This window comes from Homo sapiens, chromosome 17 (genome assembly GCF_000001405.40).
Source record: "Homo sapiens chromosome 17, GRCh38.p14 Primary Assembly".
Taxonomy (NCBI): domain Eukaryota; kingdom Metazoa; phylum Chordata; class Mammalia; order Primates; family Hominidae; genus Homo; species Homo sapiens.
In genome coordinates this window covers 40,440,817-40,458,487 of record NC_000017.11, presented here as the reverse complement: position 1 = coordinate 40,458,487, position 17,671 = coordinate 40,440,817, and the positions used below count along the sequence as shown (strand labels likewise).

General features: G+C 53.6%; 1 protein-coding gene across 1 annotated transcript, besides 4 other annotated features; it reads right to left on the bottom strand.

The window, feature by feature from the left end:
- Positions 1–762: 762 nt before the first annotated feature.
- IGFBP4 (insulin like growth factor binding protein 4) lies at positions 763–15,038 on the bottom strand. The gene is made up of 4 exons (NM_001552.3): positions 14,404–15,038; positions 5,346–5,503; positions 4,426–4,560; positions 763–2,039 (listed from the first exon to the last, which is right to left on the bottom strand). Exons 1-4 carry the CDS (start codon positions 14,750–14,752, stop codon positions 1,905–1,907), a joined length of 777 nt encoding a protein of 258 aa, NP_001543.2. The 5' UTR covers positions 14,753–15,038; the 3' UTR covers positions 763–1,904.
- Positions 14,832–14,881: a silencer, noted in NCBI's record as "silent region_8493". NCBI's record gives its function as "represses an Ori minimal core promoter by ATAC-STARR-seq in GM12878 lymphoblastoid cells {active_cell/tissue: GM12878}" and the evidence as "EXISTENCE:reporter gene assay evidence [ECO:0000049][PMID:35858748]".
- Positions 14,892–14,941: a silencer, noted in NCBI's record as "silent region_8492". NCBI's record gives its function as "represses an Ori minimal core promoter by ATAC-STARR-seq in GM12878 lymphoblastoid cells {active_cell/tissue: GM12878}" and the evidence as "EXISTENCE:reporter gene assay evidence [ECO:0000049][PMID:35858748]".
- Positions 14,952–15,141: a silencer, noted in NCBI's record as "silent region_8491". NCBI's record gives its function as "represses an Ori minimal core promoter by ATAC-STARR-seq in GM12878 lymphoblastoid cells {active_cell/tissue: GM12878}" and the evidence as "EXISTENCE:reporter gene assay evidence [ECO:0000049][PMID:35858748]".
- Positions 17,188–17,237: an enhancer, noted in NCBI's record as "active region_12146". NCBI's record gives its function as "activates an Ori minimal core promoter by ATAC-STARR-seq in GM12878 lymphoblastoid cells {active_cell/tissue: GM12878}" and the evidence as "EXISTENCE:reporter gene assay evidence [ECO:0000049][PMID:35858748]".

Genomic DNA, 17,671 nt, shown 5'->3' with positions numbered 1-17,671 from the left:
CGCGCAGCGGGCGGCAGGCTCAATGCAGCGTCTCCAGACTGCCTGCAACCTCCTGGAAAAAGGCCCCCACCGAGAGATCAGCTTCTGCTCCCGGACCCTCCACCCCCTGCCACACACATGCGTGCACACACACACACAAGGCACAGAGGTGTGGGAGGGGAGGGGCATTTGGAGGATGGCCAAGAGTCCAGGCATACCATGTGAGCACAATCTCTGAAGCTGTGGCTGGCACTGAGTCTACAGCAAAGTCAACCCCTCCCAACCTCAGAATCCAATCTCAGCACAATGCCCGAGTCAGAGATCTCGGCAGTCAGAGCTGTGGAATGTGCTGAAGCATCTACCCCCTTTCCTCAAATGCAGGGCAGTGTCCCTGCCCCTCCCCAACAAATTAATAAATCAAATCCAGATGCAAGCCCAGTCCGCCCGATGCCCTAGGAAATGCCCCAGCCCCACATGCCAGCTGATCCCAGAGACAGCTCTGCCCCCACAGGGCTGTCCTTGGTCATGCCCCCCTTTCAGGAGCCATTGTTTGCCCACCAGGAGTCTAAGTAAAGACAGCGCAGACTTTGAAGCCAAGGAGTTCCCTAGGAAACTTCCGTTGCAGGGAAGAGGAAGGTGGATTGGCCGTCCTTCTGCAGTCCCTTACCATACAGACAGGTCTGGGGACCACACAATACTCACCTCCCAAAATCTGTCCCCGTCTCTCCACCCCTGGTGCATCCCTGTGTCTAACTGAGAATAAATCAACCAAACACAATCATCTGGACATTTTTTGGTTTTGTTCTGTTTTGTTAAAAAAAAGAAAAAGAAGAAAAGACATCATGGCCAACTGGTAGGTTCCTAAGTCTCCTTCCATCCAGTCAAGCCAGAAGATGCCCAGGGGAGTAGGGAGGTGTGGGGAGGGAGGTGTAGGGGAAGGAGATATGGAGAGGGAGGCAGAGCTACAGGGAGCGAGCCACTGGAAGGATAGGTTCATCCCGGTGACTTCATGGCTGTGACCACAAATGGGGTAGGGAACAGGACCCAGGAAGCCCCTCATCCCCTAGCACGTGGGTCTTCTCCATTAGGCACATTCAGTCCACTCTTGCATTCTTTCTTCCCACCCTGACTGCTCAGAGAAATGTACCCCACCTCCCTAGCCCTCTGTGCTTCAAGTCTTCCTTTGACCCCCTTCGCTCTCCCACAGCAGGGCTCTCAGCTGCCAGCCAACCAAGCAGATGGTGCAACAACCAGACCTAAAGGAAGGACCTGGGGAAGAAGAGAAAGGGAGCCTGGCAAGTCTGAGCTTTGGGAGTGGGTCTGGACCTCGTGACCATTACTCCATCTGCTACCCCACGCTTCCTTAGGCTCCCACCCTCTGGCTAGCTTGAGAGGAAGGACGATGGTCAAGGTACATGTCTCTTCTCCTCTGACTCTGGGAATGAGATTTTTCTACTCCCACAGGCTTGAACTCTCCTTATAGGAGTGTCTCCACATGCCAAAATCAGAGGAAGTCAGAATAAAACCTCCCAAGGCTGAAAACTAGAGCTGGCACGTAGTACATGGTCAGTAAATGTTTTTAGGTGGCTGGATGAGTGAAGGAATGAGTGAGTGAGTGAATCCAGGATCGATCTGGAAACACACCAGGGCTCAGACCTCTTGGGCTAAGTGCCAGTCTCAGTCCTCTTGGGCTGTGTAACACCAAAGAGAACACCCCAGGCTCTGGCTTACCCCAAGGGCACACCCATGCTCACAAACACACACACACGCACGCACACGCACACGTGCACACGCGCATTTGAGGGAAACTTCTGGGCCGCAGGCAGAGACAGGACTCAGACTCAGACTCCACTCTGGGTCAGCTCTGCAGCCTCCAGAGCACAGGAGTAGCAGGGGACGCTGAGTCCCTGGCCTGCTGGCAGGCCTCACTCTCGAAAGCTGTCAGCCAGCTGGTGGCAGTCCAGCTCCCCCTTTGGCTCCAGGCCCCCCGGAAGCTTCACCCCCGTCTTCCGGTCCACACACCAGCACTTGCCACGCTGCCCATCCAGAGCTGGGTGACACTGCCAAGAGAAGGACATGAGGGGTCAGTTCCGACGCAGGAAAAGAGACCCCAAGTGACCCACCCCAATCCCAGCCCAGCCCAGCCCCCAAGTCAGACGGTCGCTGCTTCAAGATGGCCTCTGAGGGTGGTGACTCTTTTTTGAGCATGGGTCTTCTGAGCTCACTGGAGCAGGGAGAACATGGTCAAGAAGGAAAGGTCCAGAGAGTTCTGGAAGGCAGGACCTTAAGAAAGCCCTCGGGTTTAAAGGCACAGCTGGATTTGAAAGGCTGGGTTCAGGTTGGAGATGTTTTGGGTACATATTCTGATTGGGTTGGGACTTTAAGAATGGGATTATAGTTATGAGGTGGATCCAAGCTGGGATTAAGGTAGGACCAGGGTAAGAGTTGCAGTTGAATGAGGAAATATGACTAAAAGTTGAGCTGGATGAGTTGGGTGAGGGTTAAAGCCCAGGTAAAAACACAATTGGGATAAAGACAGAGGTCAAGGTCAGAATAACTAAAGTTAAGCTAAATTTTGGGTCAAAATTAGATAGTAGAAGGTTCAGGGGGCGCAAATGTATATTTCAGTGTGAGAATTAATCTTGGAGTGAAGGATAGCTTAAGGATCAGAACTGGTCTGGGGATAAAGTTCAAGTGTCAGAACTTTCAATGGGATAAAAATCAGAGGAAGAAGCTAGTGGCTCAAGCCTGTAATCCCAGCACTTTGGGAGGCCGAGGTGGGTGGATCACCTTAGGTCCGGAGTTCGAGACCAGCCTGGCCAACATGGCAAAACCCCATCTCTCCTAAAAATACAAAAAATTAGCCGGGTGTGGTGGCAGGCAACTGTAATCCCAGCTACTCGGGAGCTAAGGCAGGAGAATCGCTTGAACCCGGGAGATGGAGGTTGCAGTGAGCCGAGATCCCACCATTGCACTCCAGCCTCGGCAACAAGAGACAAACTCTGTCTCAAAAAAAAAAAAAATTAGCCTGACATAGTTGTGTGCCTGTGGTCCCAGCTACTCAGGAGACTGAGGTAGGAGGATCACATGAGCCCAGGATGTGGAGGTTGCAGGGAGCTGTGATCGCATCACTGCACTCCAGCCTGGGAGACTGAGATCCTGCCTTTAAAAAAAAAATCAGGAGAAGAAAATGCATAGAATTTTGCAACACAAAAAGTGAACCCTAATATAAACCACTAATTAATAATAATATACTAATATTCGTTCATCAATTGCAACAAATGTAAGATGTTAATAATGAGGAAACTGGGGTGGATGACAGTACATTGAAACCCTGTACTCTTGCTCAAGTTTTCTGTAAACCTAAAACTACTCTAAAAAATAAAGCTATTAATTGTTTTTTTTAAATTAAGAGAAAAAGTTTTTTAAATTGGGACAAGGATAAAATTCGTGTTAGGATAAAGGTTAGAAATAGGCTGGGCATTGGTTTTGGGGTGCCCTCTCTGTCCCTTCACTCATACCCTTTTCATGCCATCCTGGGATGCACAGACTCAGGGCAACCTTTGTCCTTCTATCTAGACTTCTGCTGGCAGAGTGGCAGCTCAAATTGTGGATTTGTCTATAGCTCATGGAGCAGGGAAATGGGTCTGTCTACGTCGACAAAGAGCTCCAGGCTAGGGTTCCCCAGGCAACACCCAGCAGGAGGCACACCAGAGCCCTGCCCAGACAGGCCACCCATTCTGATGGGCCAGAGATAGACTGGAAGAGGCCAACCCTGCTGACCATCCCAGCCTCCTGGAGGCTTGTCAGAGGACCCCAGCTTCCAAGGGCAGGAAGGAATAGGGAAGTTGCTGCCTTTGTGTCTTCTCTCCTGCCCCACTCCTTCCTCTGCTTCTACCCAAAGTGCCTGTCTCCAACCGTCCAATCTGGTTTTACCTTCACTCTTGCTGTACCCCAGGTGGTTTTGCTACTCGCCTTGCAGGGAGGGGTAGGCTGAGTTTCCTCCCTGACTCCTCATGACTTTGGCCCTCCATTCCCAGAAGAAACCTCACTCAGTGACAGGAGGAATTACTCATACGAATAGAGTAGAGTGAATGAGAGAGTGTTGGGAGCCAGAGGTTGTCAGGGTTGCTAGGTCTGCACCACAGATGGTGAAATCCAGGGGTGAGGGAAATTGCCCTGGATAGGGAGGCAAGATCTGCTGTTAACTTGTTCTATGACTCTGGACTAGCCCGGCGCTTTTACTCCTCTCTGGATCACAGTCTCCTCATCTCCAAAATGAGTGAGGTTCTGACGCTGAGGTAGGTTTAGGGAGGCTCCAAGGGGTTGGGTTGGGGTTGAGGAGTTTCCCCTTCCTGAGATCTCCATCCAGGACCATCCTGCGGAGAGGCCGGAAATGCCCCAGAGCTGAGTCCAGGGCCAAGCCAGCGGGAGACAGAGACCCACCTGCTTGGGGTGGAAGTTGCCGTTGCGGTCGCAGTTGGGGATGGGGATGATGTAGAGGTCCTCGTGGGTGCGGCTCTGTGAAGCGGCCAGCCGCTCCAGCGCCCGGTGCAGCTCGCTCTGGCAGGAGCCCTGGGGCTGGAGGAGGGGAAGACAAAATTGCTCAGCAGAAGGAAGAGAGGCAGGAGGCCCAGGCCTGGGGTCAGAGCTAAGTGAGAACTGAAGGCCCCGAAAGGAGGCCTGAGCCCCAGGGGCTGGGCAGGACCCAGTGAGGTGAAGAGAGAGGCCTGGGTCTGGAGGACACACTGGGAGGGTAGAGACGTGGAGGAAAGGGTCTCGAGCCAAAGAGCTTCTTCAAAGGAGGGGTGGGAAGTGAGGGGACACTGTGGGGAAAGGGGCTGTGGGAACCTATGCAGAAAGCCAGGGAGGGGGTGATTTCTATGCAGAAGGGACAGATAAAACTTCCAACTGACAACTTGTAAGACCTTCAGAAGGGAAATTAGCCAGACCCTGGAGCAGGGTCCCAGGCCCCCTGCTATGGCCAGCATTACCCTTTGGTTACTGAGAAGGTCTGGGGTGGGGAATCCAAAAAAGGCCAAGAAACCCCAGGGCGCTTTGGGTAACTGCTTTTTACCAATTGGTATAGAAGTTTTTCAGTATTTAATAATCACTTAAGCTGCCCCGATGTATATAACTGATGGGCAGGAAAGGAATCCCAAGGAAGGGAATGAGTGCTTTCTCTGGGTCCTGATGACTCACACTAGTTGCACCTTGCACACAGTAGTCACCCTAGAATGTGTGCTGAATGAACACGCCCCAGATCTGGTGGTGATGGTGTGTGTGGGTGCGTGCATGTGGGGGGCAGGGGGCATGTGTGTGTGTGTGTCTATGCACATGCACATTTGTGCATCGGAGGTCCTTACCACAGGCCGGGCATCCTCCCGGGGCGCCCCATTGACCTTCATCTTGCCCCCACTGGTGCTCCGGTCTCGAATTTTGGCGAAGTGCTTCTGCAGGCACCTGCGGTCATGGGCGCTACAGGGGCTGAAGCTGTTGTTGGGGTGGTCACCCTCGTCCTTGTCTGTATTCAGGTAGCGATAAGGAGAGGTCAGCACCGGAAGAGGTCAGAGCGTCACACCAACCCAGCCTCCCACCCACGTTCTCCTTCCTGGGGATTCTTCGGCTTGGCGCTGGAGAAGAGCAGGGGGCCTGGGGAGCGGGAAGAAACAAGAGCAGCCCCCTACCTCCTCCCCTCTCCCCTGGATCTCTCAGGAGAATATTCCTCTTGAAGTCCTTGACTTGTCCCTCACCCCACTCAGGCCAGCGCTCAGATGAGTCACCAGCTGCAGCTGCCCAGATGGCAGGAGGGTCCCCTGGGCCCTGCAGGGAGGTCTGAGGCAGGCAGGGGGACCCCCTGCTGGATCCTGTCCCCTTTCCATTCAGCTCCCACCATTCCCCTCTCCATCTGATCGTTCTCCCTGTTGCCTCTCCTGATTTTTTCGGTGTCTGGCTGAGCCAGCCAGGGGATCCCCAGGGCTGTGGACTCTGCTCGCCCTCTTCCAAATGGCCTGAATCAGAGTTTCCATGAGCAATGAGAACTCTAGCCCAAAAGGCTCTCCCCATTGGCTGAGTGGGAGAGAAGTGGGAGTTAGTGTATCCGCCTGCATGAGGAAGAGTGAGTGTGTGTGTGAGTGTGTGTGTAACACAACCTGTGTGGCCCCAGGACCACAAGAACAGCCTCACACATTCCTTCAGTCCCCCACCTCGAAGTTTCCCATTCTTAGACTTCAGACTCCATCCAAAGTCCATAGGGGTTGCCCAGAACCAGGGCACCAGGGATCTGGAGACGGGAGTGATGAGGCTGGACCTTCAACCCCTCTGTGGGATCTCCTGAAGGCTCTATCTGAGCTCAAGAAAAACTCCATCCAAATGGGGCATTGTGGCTCATGCCTGTAATCCCAACACTTTGGGAGGCTGAGGAGGGAAGATTACTTAAGGCCAGGAGTTCGAGACCAGCCTAGGCAACATGGCAAGACCCCATCTTCACAAAAAATTTAAAAATTAACCGGGTATGGTGGCATGTGCCTGTAGTCCTAGCTACTCAGGAGGCTGAGGCGGGAGCATCACTTGAACCCAGGAATTCGAGGTTAACAGTGAGCTATGATCACACCACTGCACTCCAGCCTGGGTGACAGAGCAAGACCCTGTCTCTAAAAAAATAAAATAAAATAAAATACATTTTTTTAAAAAAGAAAAACCCCATGCTTGAGTCCCAGAACTGTAACCACTGCTCCTCCCTCCAAGCAGTCAAAACCAGAATACAGGGCTGAGCTGGAGAAAGAGGTTGGAAGACCTCTCTGCAGATCAGAGCCACCTCTGAAATGCTCAGGCTTGGCAGCTCGCTGCCGGCCTGAGTGCAAAGCCCCTGCCAGCATTCCAGATGTTGGCAGCCGGACAGGAGGTTACATCTGGTTTGCGTCAGGGTTTTTTTTTTCCTGAGGAGTTAGCAGGTTCCTCCATGCGTGGCAGCGATCCCAGAGCTGCCTCTGGGTCAAATGGTATTTTTCTGCCTAGCCAAAGCTGGGGGGGTTGGTTCTCTTTTCATTCTCCTGGTTTGGGGGGTGTGGGGAGAAATATGTGGATAAAGGCAAACCAGGCAAGGAGGAATCTAACCAGAAAGTCTTTATCAATAACCTTCCACACCAAAGGTTATTAATAAAATTCACCAAGGATGGAAGAAGATTTTGTTACGGTGGAGAGCTGGCTTAGAAAAGAGGAATAAAAGGGAAGAAATAAATAGAGTAGACAGATATAATCCATCCTTCTGCACATTTAAAATCCCAAGAAGGACAGTCCAGAGGGGACTCCAGTCCTACATCAAGTTCCTAAGAGTCAACCAAAGAGAAGACACTATAGCAAGACCCCCTGGCCAAGGTAGGCAGCAAAAGAAGAAACATAAACTTCAGAAGACGAGGACTGTGCCAAGGGGACCATAAGGAGATGGATCCTGAGCCCTCGGTTAGGAACCAGAGAAAGATCTGGGATCCAGGCCCTTCCTTTGAGACCCTCCCAAGGAATTCCTCCAGCCAAAGAAACCTAAGCTGCCCCAGTGATCACCTCCCTCCACACCCCCACCTTGCACAAAGCCATAAGGCTTGAGGATGGAGTCACCGTGTTTCAGGGGTGTAAGCTGGAACTGGGGAGTGGAGAGAAAAAGGAAATGGAAGACCTCAAAGAATTAGAACCAGGCTGGGTGCTCACGCCTGTAATCCCAGTGCTTTGAGAGGCCGAGGTGGGAGGATCACTTGAGGCCAGGAGTTCAAGACTAGCCTGGGCAACATAGCAAGACCCTGTCTCTACCAAAAAAAAAAAAATTAGTCAGACCTGCCTGTGGTCCTAACTTAGAAGACTGAGGTAGGAGGATCGCTTGACCCCAGTACATCAAGGCTACAGTGAGCTATGATTGTGCCACTGCACTCCAGCCTGGGTAACAGAGCAAGACCCTGTCTCTTAAAACAAAAACAAAAACAAAAAAACAAAAAAAAAATTCAAGAATTAAAGAATTAGAACCAAATGTCAGAAGGACAGAGGCTGAGCTGAGATGTGGACAAAGGCCCCACCCTGTTACTTAAGTAGGGCTGGAGATCACCTGGACTTGTTTGCCACAGCCCAGGACACTAACACCAGGGGGCACCCTTCCAACCTGGAAAGCCTTTGTTTTTCCTGAGTTTGCTTTCTTTTAATGACCATAAAAGAAAGTACTAGGGGCCAGCTGGGGTGGCTCACGCCTGTAATCCCAACACTTTGGAAGGCCGAAATAGGTGGATCGCTTGAACCCAGGAGTTCAAGACCAGCCTAGGAAACATAGTGAAACCCTATCTCTACAAAAAATTAGCCTGGTGTGGTGATGCACAGGTGTAGTCCCACCTACTTGGGAGGCTGAGGTGGGAGGATCACCTGAACCCAGGAGGTCGAGGCTGCAGTGAGCAGTGATCACACCACTGCACTCTAGCCTGTGCAACAAGTGAGACCCTGTCTCAAAATTTTAAAAAAGCAAGCACTATTTTGTACAATGATTCATTCCTCTCAGTAAATGGGTAGAATATTCTTTGGTTCAAGGAGTGAGGAAGGTTTTTCAGGAGTTCAAGGAGTGAGGAAGAGTTTTCAGGAGGTAGTGAGCTCCCACCCTGGAAGTGTGGAGAATTAGGGTGGTAGCAGCCTCAAAAATCTCAAGAGATATGGAATAGAAGCATGACCACAACTATGCTTTCCATGCTGAGTTTCTTTTTCTCTCTCTCTCTCCTTTTTTTTTTTTTTGAGACGGAGTCTCGCTCTGTCGCCCAGGCTGGAATGCAGTGGCGCGATCTCGGCTCAATGCAAGCTCCACCTCCCAGGTTCACGCCATTCTCCTGCCTCAGCCTCCCAAGTAGCTGGGACTACAGGCGCCCGCTACCATGCCCAGCTAATTTTTTTGTATTTTTAGTAGAGATGAAGTTTCACCGTGTTAGCCAGGATGGTCTCGATCTCCTGACCTCGTGATCCACCTGCCTCGGCCTCTCAAAGTGCTGGGATTACAGGCATGAGCCATTGCGCCCGGCCTTTTCTTTTTTTTTTAAGAGACAGGGTGTCACTGTGTTTCCCAGGCTGGTCTCAAACTCCTGGCCTCAAGTGATCCTCCTGCCTAGACTTCCCAAAGTGCTAGGATTACAGGCGTGAGCCACAGTGCTGAGCTTTTACGAGTCAAAGTTCACAAATAACTAACCCTCAGAGGATTATTAATGGATATTTGGGATGTTTACCATTAAGGAGGATTAGGTATGCTCACTGAAGCCTAGGGCTGCATGGGGCACAGGGTGAGTCCAGAGGCATGGCTTATGCTCTTGGGTTGGTATGGCCCCATGTCACATCAGAGGGTTACCTACGAAAAGCTAAGCCAGCAAACTGCCTGGCTTCTCCCTTGTTAGGTTCCCCACTAGCCATCCTACTTATCCCCAGTTCATGTCTACACGGAGTAGCACCCACCAGATAGGGAGAGTAGCTCCCTCCTTAGTCTCATGGGGACACAGGGTAAATCCGTATTTGCCTACTCACACAGACAGGCTCAGGCTCAAGAACTGCAAGTGTACACAAACAATCACGTGTCCAGACACACATTCATCCACATGTGCCTTACCCACATGCACTTGGGCACTCTGACCCTGCCCTGGTCAGAGACACAGAGCCAGGGCAGGGCACGCTGACTTCAACAGCTTCTCTGCACCGTGGTTTGTTGACTTTCCATGTAATCTGTAACTTTTCCTTGCCCAACCCTGCTTAACTGGCAGACTGAAGAGCCACCCCAGGATCCACCCCTAAGCACCAGGTTTTTGTGGGGGTAAGGGTTATAGCATTGAGTCTCTTGATAACGTTAACCTTCTCATCTCCAAAACTGGCTAAATACTTGCTATTTCCCTGCTCACACAAGAGTTCCAGCCACCTGGTGCTACTCATCCTGGTAGTGCCCTCTGGAGAAATTCCAATGCCTGTGGGTTCCCCTCTGAGCAGGAGTGGAGTCAGACCTATTCCCCTGAAAAGTCTGACCTCCAAAAAGCTTGTTTGGGAGATGGGACTTCCAAGTAGGCTTGGTCCTCCTACAGCGCCCAGCTTGGAGCTAAGCCAGTTGACATCTGACTATAGGGGAAACCTCGGTCTTTGCTCCAGCAGCAGAGGAAGGGAAGGCGCCAGAGAAGAGGCCACACGGCTTTGGCACCACCGGCTGCAAAGTTTGTGGCGAAAGCCAGAGGATTTCCTCTTTCCTGTTGCCTGATTTTACCCTCACAATTTCTCCCCAACGCCAGCCCCTGGCCCTCGAGAGACACCTAGGCTATGAACTGAGTGGGCCCAGCCATCCCGACCAGAAGTTTCAGCTGTGATCCAGAGGGTCACCCACCTGTCCTGCTAGAAAGGTCTTTTCCCTCTTCCCCTAGACTCTAGCTGGAGAAGCCAAGACCGCTGGTGCTGGGTACCAGGCCCTTTCTCTGAGGTCTGGCTCAAGGGGTATCACCCCCAACAGCTGTGTCATGCTGCCAGCCTCAGAATAAAAAACAGATAAGGCAACTTGGCCTGTTCTTCCCATGTTGACAGCAGCAAAATGCACCAAAGGCCACCCCACCCCTCTCAACTCCTCTGAATGTTGCCCCAAATTTGCTCCCTCGTCCTACCGCTTCCCTAAGTCCCAGCATCAGCTTCTTCATCACCATCTTCCTCATCACTTCAATTTATTGAGCTCTTACCCGATGCCAGACGCCCCAACCCTGTGAGGCAGGTCCTGTTGCCCTCCCCACTTTAAAAATTAGGAAAATGAAGTAGACTGGGTGGAAGGGGAGGAGGAGAGACTTAGCTCTGCAGCACTCTGTCTTTAAGTGGAAAGACTCCTGATACCCGAGGCACCAATACTGCTAGCTTTGCCAGTACTAAATTAAAAATGGGAAGCGGCCATGCTCCTCCCTCCCCCTCCCCACAAGGCACAGAATTTCTGGGAATGCCCTTGTTCCCATGACATAACTGGATTCCCAGTACTGAAGTAGGGGGGCAGAATTTGCTGCATTGACTAAAAATTAACCCAGCCTGCCTGTTCCCTAACCCTGTCCCAAAGGGACTGAGAGCCCAGCTTAGGAACTCCCCGTCCAAACGCTGATCTTTCCGCTGTCCACTCCCCCAGATTCCATGAGTCTAGGATCAGTACCAGGATGCAGAGGTGTGGACTTTTGATGCACACGCCCCGCCTCATCTCTGGTGGCCTCAGTGGTGTTAAGCCACAACCTGGCCAGCACATGGAAAGCTGTGACAGGAGGGCAGGCAGGGGTGGCTGGAGACGGAAAGGGGAGATCTGCCCCTGGGGCAAACAGGAGGCAGCTGGACCATAGCAGCCAAAGAAGGGGGCATGCCAAGTGGCCACCCTCCCCCAGCCACCTGCTGACACTCAGCCCCAAAAGGAAAAGGCAGAAAAAATAGACAGGTACCCTCGACCAAGCTATTCGCGGGCCAGTGGGCCCAAACCTTGGGACCTAAAGCAGACAGTGGCCTACTGACTGTGTAAGGCTAAAAAGATGGGTGGGTAGGGGCTTGGTCGTCTTATCTCACCCACAGACCCTGCAGGGCTGCAGCAGAACTCTAGAGAGTGCCTTTTACATGGTGCCATGTGGCCCAGGTCACAGCAAGGGATTACTTCTATGATGACTAGGAGGTGTGGGAGGGCACGGGCATAGCTTGCTCAGTAGGTACCTCCAGGCTTCCCTCGTCTCTCTCCAGATACCTGCATCCATTGCATGGCTGGAGGCTGGAGGACAAGGCAAGGAGGAAAGGGGGAGGGGCATTACAGACCTTGGCTGTGTCATCCAAAGGGGACCTAAAGCCACCCCATTCCAAGACACCGTTTTTTGTTTTTTTTGTTTATTTGTTTTGTTTTCTTTAGACAGAGTCTCGCTCTGTCACCCAGGCTAAAGCGCAGTGGCACAATCTTGGTTCACTGCAACCTCCACCTCCCGGGTTCAAGTGATTCTCCTGCCTCAGCCTCCCAAGTAGCTGGGACTACAGGCACGCACCACCATGCCCAGCTAATTTTTGTATTTTTAGTAGAGACGAGGTTTCACCATGTTGACCAGGCTGGTCTCAAACTCCTGACCTCAGGTGATTCACCCTCCTCAGCCTCCCAAAATACTGAGATTACAGGTGTGAGCCACTGCACCCGGCCTACTTTTTTTTTTTTTTTTTTTTACGAAATAGAGTCGCCCAGGCTGGAGTGCAATCACGTGATCATAGCTCATTGTAACCTTGAACTTCTCATCTCAGACTCCCAAATACCTGGGACTACAGGCATGAGCCACTGCAGTTGCCTATTTTTTTTTTTTTTTTTTTGTAGAGACGGGGGTCTGGCTATATTGCTCAGGCTGGTCTCGAACTCCTGGCCTCAAGCAATCCTCCCAAAGTGCTGGGATTACAAGCATGAACCTCCACACCCAGCCCCTAGATATTCCTGGAGGCCAGTTTGCATTATATCCAGAGGACAACCACAAAATTCTCATGCCATGCCCTCCCCAAACCCCTAGGGGATCTTATTTTCCTCCACTACAGGATGGAGTATTCCTACCCAACCAGAGGATGAGGTATTCCTACCCAGCCCTTTGAGGGCTCTTCTGTCTTGCATTCAAAGTGCTGAGAGAGGAGGAGGCTACCAGCCATCCTTATCTGGTGCCAGATACCCTCTGGCTGGTGGAGGATGGAGATTCAAAGGGAACGTGACTCTGTTGTACCCCGCGAACCCAAGGGCTCGGCCCTTGCTCCCTCCCAGTCTCAGTACCCCTCCTCTACCATTGCCACTGGCATCTCTGCCCCAAGATTAGCGACTTTCTCCCCCAGGACCCCCCTTCCCAGATATGCTGGGTGCCAGGCTGGCATTTCTCCTAGAATGTTTTCTGCTGACCCATCTCTCCCTACCCAGGGGCAGGAAGGGCAGAGAGGCCCGAGGCCCAGACCCCTGGAGTCCACCTCCTTCCTGTTTTCCCTGCATCCTGCTCTCCTCGGCTGACAAGCTGCAGAGGATTGAGGAAGTGGAGGGTTTGGGTCCCAGGACAGGAAGCTTGGGGCTGGAGTCCCAGCATCCGGACTGCAACAATGGAAGCTTCAAGCACCAGGAAAAGAGACAGAGACAGACAGAGGCACAGGAGAGCAAAACAGGGTCGGAGATGGAATGAGAAACAGAGGCATAGATACAGAAAGACAGACAGAGAGATTCCCAAAGTAACAGGGAAAGACCAACAGTGACAGAGACACAGAGAAACAGCAACAGAAAGAGAGGGAGAGAAGCAGAGCAACTGAAACAGAAACACAGAATAAGGTGGAGAAAGAAACGCACGATGGGCAGAAGACACTGAGGAAAACAGAACTCGAGAGCATGACTAGTGAAACTAGAGGTTGAGAGACAAATCAGGAAGAACAAAAGAGCAAGAGAAAGAAGGAAAAGAGACTGAGAGTCTAAGGAGAAACTGAGAAACAAAAAAAGAAAGTGTAAGAATGAGGTTAGGGCAAGGGCCTTCTCAGAGTCTCTCTCTCTCTCTCTCTCTCTCTCTCTCTCTCTCTCTCTCTCTCTCTCTCTGTCTCTGTGTGTGTGTGTGTGTGTGTGTGTGTGTGTGTGTGTGTGTGTTTCTCTCTCTCTCTCTCTCTCTCTCTGTTTCTCTCCCCTGGCGCCCTGGCCCCTTCTCTATTCCCTATCCCACACACATGAGGCTCCTGCAGCTCTCGGCTAGGAGCCAAGACTTTTCTACCACCTCAAATCCTACCTGCCTGGAGAAAAGAACAGGGGGCCTGTATACCAGGGCAGGCAGAGGTGTCCAGGCCTGGCAGAGGGACCCCTGTCTTCCCACTGCCTCTCAAACAACAAGGTGACCTGGCTCTGGGCTTTGGGGAAGGGCAAGTCTAATGCCCCTCAACGCCAAAGTCCCTCTAATTTGTATGTCCCACTCCACCACTGGACCATGTAAAAAAAAAGTTCAGGCCCTGGCTCCCCAGACCACTGGGATTTCACCCTCGGCCTGGATCAGGAACAGAAAGCTTTCCCCACTCCCTCATCCTCCCCAACACACACCCCACCACCATCCTCCAGTTCTCTGGCCCTAGACAGCTGACTTAACTGGACCTTAATCTGCCACTCCTGCACCAGCAGCCAGGCCTCCCACTGGGACCCCCTTATCAAACAGACAACCCTTGGAGGTTTGAGATGGAGCGATGGGACAGTCTCCCTTGGTGGTGGCAACAGGCTGCTAGGGACTCGGTAGCAGTTTCCTTGATGAGCCTGTCCCATGCCAGTCGGGCCCTGCCACGTACCTGCCTTCTCTTCAACTCATAGGGGATTTTTAAGGGCCTTCCAGGGCGGCTGGAATGGGGAAGAAGCCGCTGGGAAGGGAGCGCACTCAGGAGGGAATTGGGAGGCCAGGGGTACCTTACCAGAGGGCTGCAGGCTTTCCTGGATGGCCTCGATCTCCGCCAGCTCCATGCACACGCCTTGCCCGTGCATCAGTGTGTGCAGGGGCTTCTCCACCCCTCGGGGCGGGTAGCAGCGCAGGCCCGAGCCGCAACGGGGGGTGTACACCCCGCAGGGCATCCCCAAGCCCAGGGCGCAAGTGGCGCAACAGCCGCAGCCCGGCTCTCGCACCAGCTCCTCGCAGCCCACGGGGGGGCGGCAGCGCGCCAGCTTCTCCTCGGAGCAGGGCGGGCAGTGGATGGCTTCGTCGCCCAGGCTCGGCCCGGGCCCGGCGGCCAGCAGCAGGGCGGCCACGAGGCAGAGGGGCAGCATGACCGCCCGAGGACTGGGCGCGGGCGCGGGGCGCTGGGCGCAGGCGGGGAGCGCGGGCGCGCGGGCGAGCGGCGGAGGGCACACGGCGGCAGCGCCTGGCGCTCCTGGAGGACCCGACCCGGAGGGCGCGGGGAGACGGGGCGGCCCGGCGGGCGAACGGGGACGTAGCGGGGGAAGTTAGCAGGCGTGCCGGAGGGGAGCAAGCCTGGCCGCCGAGGCGCTGCGCCGCATCCTCGGCCCGGCCCAGGCAGGCGGCGGGCGGCGAGGGGCAGGGGGCTGAGCGGCTGCCCGGGACCGGCTCCCCCGGACTTTATACCGGTCCCTGGCCACACCCCCAGCGCCTTCCCAGAGGTGGGGGAGCCGGGGCGGGCGAGGGGGAGAGGGAGAGGCGGCCGTTAGGGGGAGGGGGCGCTGTCCTGAGTCGCCGCCGCCGCCGCCGCCGCATCTGAAAGTCCTTTTCTGCCGAAGAAGGAAGCGGCGCAGTTTGGAAGCTGTAGCAGGCGCCCAGAGTGCCTCTGAACCGGAGCCCCGGAGGGGAGGCAAGGGAGAAGGGAAGCCAAGGGGCTGCTGCGGGGCCCCCTTTCCCGACCTCGGAGGAGTCTCGTCCCGCCCCGCCAAGGCGGCCTCAGTCTCCCACCGAGAAAGGGACTTCCTAGCCCGGACTCCCGGCTCTGCGGATCCGGTCTTCCTGGACAGAGCCCTTTCCACCGCACCCCGGTGCTTCCAGCCTCAACCGCTGGAGACCAAGCCTCCTGAGGTGGGGTAAAGCGTACAGGCACAGCTAGGGGCACAGAAAGGCCTGGAGGCCCTAAGACGTTAACAGGCTCTTGCCACTTGCCCCTTGCAACCTCTCCCGCCCCCGCAATCTCCCCAGGGCGCATTTGGGCCCTGGTCCACCCTGCTTCCCCAAGATGGAATCAGCAGAACTCCCGGGGAGGGAGGTGCCGCCGAGCCTCTTCCTCCTTCTTGGATGTTTGCCTCTCAGGCCCATTCAGACCCACTCGTGGAGGGAGGCAGGCCTGGGAGATTGCCACTTGCAATGTGCAAGTTTTGCGTTGAACAACTCCAGTGGGGCACCATTCCTTGTAATCATTGTGTATTTGTAGAGCTGTTGTGATCATTTCCCAGATGGCAGTGAAGGATTTGAGGGGCCTGCAGCAGTGACTCACACCTGTAATGTCAGCACTTTTGGAGGCTGAGGCGGGAGGATCACTTGAGCCCAGGAGTTCAAGACCAGTCTGGGCAACGTAGTGAGACCTTGTCTCTACAAAAAAATTTTAAAATTAGCCAGGTGTGGTGGCGTTCACCTGTGGTCCCAGGTACTCGGGAGCCTGAGGCAAGAGGATCACTTGAGCCCAGGAGTTGGAGGCTGCAGTGAGCTAGAATTGTACCACTGCACACCAGCCTAGGTGAAAGAAGGAAACTCTGTCTAAAAAAGAAAGAAAGAAAGAAGGCCGGGCGCGGTGGCTCACGCCTGTAATCCCAGCACTTTGGGAGGCCGAGGCGGGCAGATCACGAGGTCAGGAAATCGAGACCATCCTGGCTAGCACGGTGAAACCCCCTCTCTACTAAAAATACAAAAAGTTAGCCGGGCGTGGTGGCGGGTGCCTGTAGTCCCAGCTACTAGGGAGGCTGAGGCAGGAGAATGGCATGATCCCGGGAGGTGGAGCTTGCAGTGAGCTGAGATTGCGCCACTGCACTCCAACCTGGGCGACAGAGCGAGACTCCATCTCAAAAAAAAAAAGAAAGAAAGAGAAAAAAGAAGGCCAGGCGTAGTGGCTCATGCCTGTAATCCTAGCACTTTGGGAGGCCAAGGTGGGCAGATCACCTGAGGTCAGGAGTTTGAGACCAGTCTGGCCAACACGGTGAAACCCCATCTCTACTAAAAATACAAAAATTAGCCGGGCGTGGTGGCGCATGCCTGTAATCCCAGCTACTTGGGAGGCTGAGGCAGAAGAATCGCTTGAACCCCAGGAGGAGGAGGTTACAGTGATCCAAGATCATACCACTGCACTCCAGTCCAGGTGACAGAGCAAGACTCTGTCTCAAAAAAAAAAAAAAAAAAGAATTTTAAGGAAGGGATGCTTTTTTAATTCACCCAGTGTTGCTACTTGGGCTAGTGTTGGGCCTGGCTTGACCCTCTGTAAAATCCTATTGATCCCTATTCCCCCAGCCTTGCCCAATCCTGCCCAAATTGAGAAGAGCCCTGGAGTGGCATTTGGAGCAAAGATCCATCTCCTAGGTTCCCTCTCAGGCCCCCGCTAATTCCCACCCATTCTTCCCTACAAAGGCTTCTGCTGTACTGGAGCTGGTTTCAGGTTAAGCGTACCTGTCCAGGAATAATCAGTAACCCACTGTGGATTTTTTTTTTTTTTTGTCTCGGCCTAGAAAGCTGCAGGTCAGCCAAGCTGAAATGCAGTTCAGAGACCCTCTTCCTGCTTCTTCCCCCAGGACAGGGGTCTTTCAGCCTCACGGGGATTGGGCTACCTCCTACTTACTGAGAGATGATTGCAGGGAGATTGGGACTGGCAGCCGGACCTGCAGGACAGACCAAAAAGTTGCAAACTGACGGCACCTACTGGCAACCATCAAGACTGCAGAAGGGCTGGAAAGTGATGGCTGGGGCCAAGATTCTGGGGTTCTCTCCATTCCATCTCATAGATGAAGTGGGGACCCTTCTGCCCCATATGCCTTGGAGAAGGGCAAACAGAACCAGCTTCCTCAAGTCCCTGGGGAAGCCCAGCCTGTGCCTGATTCAGAAAACTGCCCCCAGGCCGGGCATGGTGGCTCACGGCTGTAATTCCAGCACTTAGGGAGGCCAAGGCGGGTGGATCATGAGGTCAGGAGATCGAGACCATCGTGGCTAACACGGGGAAACCTCGTCTCTACTAAAAATAAAAAAAATTAGTCAGGCGTGGT